Genomic DNA, 5,236 nt, shown 5'->3' on the forward strand with positions numbered 1-5,236 from the left:
GAACTACTCATGCATTGTCTGTATTCCTGAAGGGTAGAAAGTGGAGTACTCCAAGGGTATTGCTCTGTGATCGTTAGGAGGGTTTGGAGTCAGATATCCTTGAGGGGGTGTCACCTTCCATAGTCTGTAGCCATTGGAAGTGTGTCAGTGCTTCCAACAATAAATCCACCTTAGCTCAGCTATGCAGCAACCGAAATAGCATGCTACTGGTACAAAAACAGGCACATAGACCAGTGGAACAGAATAGAGAGCCCAGAAATAAGGCCGCACACCTACGACCATTTGATTTTCAACAAAACTGACAAAAACAAGCATTGGGGAAAAGACTCCCCAGTCAATAAATGGTGCTGGGAAAACTGGCTAGCCATATGCAGAAGATTGAAGCTGGACCCCTTCCTTACACTGTATACAAAATCAACTCAAGAGGGTTAAGGACTTAAATGTAAAACCTAAAACTGTAAAAACCCTGGGAGACAACCTAGGCAATACCATCCTGGACATAGGAACGGGCAAAGATTTCATAACAAAAATGCCAAAAGCAATTGTAAGAAAAGCGAAAATTGAAAAATGGGATCTAATCAAACTTAAGAGCTTCTGTTACAGCAAAGGAAACTACCTTACTTACCTAGCACGGGAGATACTGTGATCACAAAGGTGGTTTTCCCAGAGTAAGTCTCACCTATTGCACTCTGGGTATACTGGCCCCTGTGATTTTCCCAAATGCAAGAAACTTGACTGCATAATTTGTGGTAGTGGGGGGACTGTGTTTGCGCTTTCCCTGTGTATATTGTTAAATAATTTTTTATAATTAAAATGAAAGAAACTATCAACAGAGTGAACAGACAACCTACAGAATGGGAGAAAATATTTGCAAACTATGCTTTGAACAAACGTCTAATATCCAGCATCTGTAAGAAACTTAAATTTACAAGAGAAAAACAACCCCATTAAAAAGTGGGCAAAGGACATGAACAGACACTTTTCAAAAGAAGACATACATGTGGCCAATGACCATATGAGAAAAAGCTCCACATCACTGATCATTAGAGAAATGCAAATCAAAACCACCATGAGATTTCATGCCAGTCAGAATGGCTATTAATAAAAAATAAAAAAATATGGATGTGGAGAAAAAGGAACACTTATACACTGTTGGTGGGAGTGTAAATTAGTTCAGCCATTGTGGAAAGCAGTATGGTGATTCCTCAAAGAGCTAAAAATGGAACTATCATTTGACCCAGCAATCCCATTGTCATGGGATCTTTAGGGTGCTGCTTTTCTGGCCAGAAACCTCTGTGGCTGGTGGTGCCTTTGCCTGAGTTTTGCTTGAGCCCACTGGGCTTGTTCTGCCCACTCAGCCTGGCAAGCTGTGCTTGGCTTATGCTGCTGGCCTGGATCCCATCCCTGCCAAGGGTAAGCCAGGCATGGAGCAGTGAGGGGTTTGTGAGTGAGCATGGGTTTTGGGCACTGTGCAGTCAGACAGCAGCTACTGCAGTGGGGTGGGCAACTCCAGGTGCTGGCATGGGCAGCTCCAGCTCTCTGCAAGGCTGTGACTGGACCAGGTGCACTGCAAGCAACTTCCACCGCTGGCACTGGAAACATGGTGGCACCCAGAAGCTTGGAGATGCCAGGAACCACAGGGCCCCAAAGAGGGAGTCACAGCCCTGGCTCAGGGAGCTCCCAGGTCTGGGCTCCCTGAAGGGCCGCAGCTCTTCTGTCCTTCTCTTCAACCATGACATGGTAAGCAAGGGGCATGTTTCAGCTTTGTTTGTGTTACAGCTCTTTTATTCCCGCTATTTGAGAGGTCCTGAGTTCTTGTCCTGTGACCAGGAAGAATGAGGTACACAGATAAGTGGAGGGTGAACAAGATGAAGAGGAGCTTTGTTGAGCAATAGAACAGCTCAGAGGAGAGCAGCAGTGAGTAGCTCCTTTCCACAGCCAGGGTGGCCCAGTGAGTGTTTAGCTCCTAGCAGAGGGTAGACCTTGTAGTGGGAAGCTCATCTCAGCAGGCAGGTTGTCCCATTGTCTCTGAAGCTCTCAACAGAGAGGAGGCCCTGGAGTGGGTTGCTCCCTTCTGCAGGCAGGTTGTCCTGACATCTGCAGCTCTCAGCAGAGAGGAGGCCCTGGAGTGGGTAGCTCCTCTCTGCAGCTGGTTGTCCCAACATCTGCTCACCTCTGGCTGAGCCCAGGGCTTTTATGGGCCTCAAAGGGGAATAAGTGAGTACTGATTGGTCCATGGGTGGGCATGGGCAGACCTGGAAAAGGCACCACAAGTTTCTACTCTGGTCTGCAAGACTGGGTCTTCAGGCCCACCCGTGGCCTGAAGGTGGAGCCTCACTGGGAACCCACCTCCTTCTGCCCAGGAGCCTGTCTGCCTCCCACTGCTTTTCAGGATCTTCGAGCCAAGGGACGCCTACAGGCCAGTGCTGAGCTGCCCTCAGCCCCCACCTCGGCTTCCCTCCTATGCTTGTCAGTGCCCAAAGTCTGGAGAGGGACAAGACAGCAGGGAGCTGGTGAGTCAGAACTGCCCTGAGCATGTGCACATCTTGCTGGGCTGTGACAGTGCCTGGGCTCAGCCCTGACTTCGCTCCAAGATCAGAGTGGGTGCCAACAGCAGGGAGAAGCCAGGTAGTGGCAGAAGGCACTTCTGAGCCTGTGAGGGCAGGGTGGGTCTTCCTGGGCCCCAAAAGCACAGGGAGGCCTGGGTTCACAGCTGCTGTTTGGGTGGCTGCAGCCATGCCTGGGGCGGGGGGTGCAGGGCTCCTGTCTGCCTCATGGTGTGGGAGGCCTGGGTTTGCAGCCACAACTTGGGTAGCTGCAGCCGCACTTGGAAGTGTGAGGCTCCTGCCTGCTTCTGTCCCCGCCAAGAGCACAGGGAGGCCCAGGTCTACAGCCACAGCTTAGGTAGCTGCAGATGCACCTGGGAGGGCAGGGCTTCTGCCTGCTCTGTGGAGTGGGAGGCCTGGATCTGCAGCCACGACTTGGGTGATTGCAGCTGAGTCCAGAAGGGTAGGCCTCCCGCCTGCTCCTGGGCCCTGAGAGCACAGGGATGTCAGGGTCCACAGCTGCAGCTTGGGTGGCTGCAGTGTACCTGGGGAGCACCTGCCCCAACTCAGAAGGGGCCAGGCTCCCTCTTTTCTCTGGCTCCCGATGGCTACATGGAGCACGCAGCCCTGACCATGCTTCCCTGCTGCAGCTGTTGTGATGGCAGCTGCCACTCCAGACAGCCCACCACTGCCATCACCATTACACCAAAGGAATATAAATCCTTCTATCACAAAGATACATGCATGTGAATGTTCATTTTAGCACTGTTCACAATAGCAAAGACATGGAATCAACTTAAATGCCCATTGGTGACAGATTGGATACAGAAAATGTGGTACATATACACCATGGAATACTATGCAGCCATAAAACAGAACAAATTCATGTCTTTTGTGGGAAGCTGGATGGAGCTGGATGCTATTATCCTTAGCAAACTAATGCAGGAACAGAAAACCAAATATCATATGTTCTCACTTATAAGTGGGAGCTAAATGATGAGAACACATGAACACAGAGAAGAGAACAGCAGACACTGGGGCCTACTTGACTGGGGAGGGTGAGAGGAGGGAGAGGAGCAGCAAAAATAACTCTTGGGTACTAGGCTTATTACCTGGGTGATGAAATAATCTGTACAACAAAACCCTTGTAACATGAATTTACTTATATAACAAACCTGAACATGCACCCCTTAACCTAAAAAGAAAGTTTAAAAAATATTATAAAAAAGAAAATAAATCAAATTTAAAAATATACACATCTTTGGCATTAAAGAATTGCCAATAGATTTAGGGTATCTGGCTCAGCCACTGCAAAGCCAGAAATGGTGCCCAAACCAGACCTTGGTGGCTACTCCAGCAAAGACACCAATGCTGCTGCCACCTAGCACAGACATTGCATTTTGTCCTAGACACTGCAAATTCCACTGATAGTACTGAGGCCTGGAGTGCAAAATTCTGGGGCTGCTGATCTTGAAAACCCAGATACTTCTGTTGCTGTGAAAGAGAGTACATGTGCTTTGTAATGTCACATGTGGAGTCCTGGGTGTGGGTGCATTACATACATTCATACAGCTGCAAATAAGACTGGGGTTCTGGTTTCTTCAATGAAGGGACAAGAATGAGAATGTGCAAAAATGTTGCAACATAAGAAGAATGTTTAAAAGATGCTGGATTGCACAAACATGACAAATATTCCCAAGACCCCCCAAAGTGATAGTTATGTGGCATAAAGGGAGGGTATGATAGCTTTGTATACCAGTAATTTAATTAATGCTATTTCATGTAAGTTAAACATAATAAAACACCATAATAAGAATGTCTGTTCTGTGTTTTATGTTACATCAGGACATACTGAGAGTAAAAGGAGAATCAAGACTGGAAAAATGGTTGGACTATTCGCTTGATCCTTCAATCATAATATATTAAAATGAAAAACACTTTCAAAGTCATTGAAGGATAAATATGAATACATATTTTACAATAGTAAAATTGCTACCTGTATTTCATAAATTTGACAGTTTTCTCCTTTGCTTTTATTTGAACCATGTACTTAATGCTATTGTAGCAATTATAACACTTTATTCTACATATTGCCTCATATTTCTAGTCTGTTTTATATAGGGTTTAGTGCTGGCACATGGCAAGAGATTGAAACATTTGCTGAATAAAATAGGAGTATCCGTCAGGTGTGGTGGCTCATGCCTGTAATCCCAGCACTTTGGGAGGCCTGGGTGGGCAGATTGCTTGAGCCCAGGAGTTCAAGACCAGCCTGGGCAACATAGTGAGACCTCGTTTCTTTTTTTTTTTTTTTTCCTCTTTATTATTATTATTATTATTATACTTTAAGTTTTAGGGTACATGTGCACAATGTGCAGGTTCGTTACATATGTATATATGTGCCATGCTGGTGCGCTGCACCCACTAACTCGTCATCTAGCATTAGGTATATCTCCCAATGCTATCCCTCCCCCCTCCCCCCACCCCACAACAGTCCCCAGAGTGTGATGTTCCCCTTCCTGTCTCCATGTGTTCTCATTGTTCAATTCCCACCTATGAGTGAGAATATGTGGTGTTTGGTTTTTTGTTCTTGAGATAGTTTACTGAGAATGGTGATTTCCAATTTCATCCATGTCCCTACAAAGGACATGAACTCATCATTTTTTATGGCTGCATAGTATTCCATGGTGTAT

The 5,236-nt window shown here is 46.5% G+C and overlaps 1 pseudogene, besides 1 other annotated feature; it reads left to right on the top strand.

Moving 5' to 3' along the window:
- Nucleotides 618–782, top strand: RNU1-146P (RNA, U1 small nuclear 146, pseudogene; annotated as a pseudogene).
- Nucleotides 2,706–3,206: an enhancer, noted in NCBI's record as "H3K4me1 hESC enhancer chr12:19879457-19879957 (GRCh37/hg19 assembly coordinates)". NCBI's record gives its function as "activates a minimal SCP1, AML or CMV promoter by ChIP-STARR-seq in naive H9 embryonic stem cells {active_cell/tissue: H9 hESC(naive)}" and the evidence as "EXISTENCE:reporter gene assay evidence [ECO:0000049][PMID:30033119]".

Source organism: Homo sapiens, chromosome 12 (assembly GCF_000001405.40).
Source record: "Homo sapiens chromosome 12, GRCh38.p14 Primary Assembly".
Classification (NCBI taxonomy): Eukaryota; Metazoa; Chordata; class Mammalia; order Primates; family Hominidae; genus Homo; species Homo sapiens.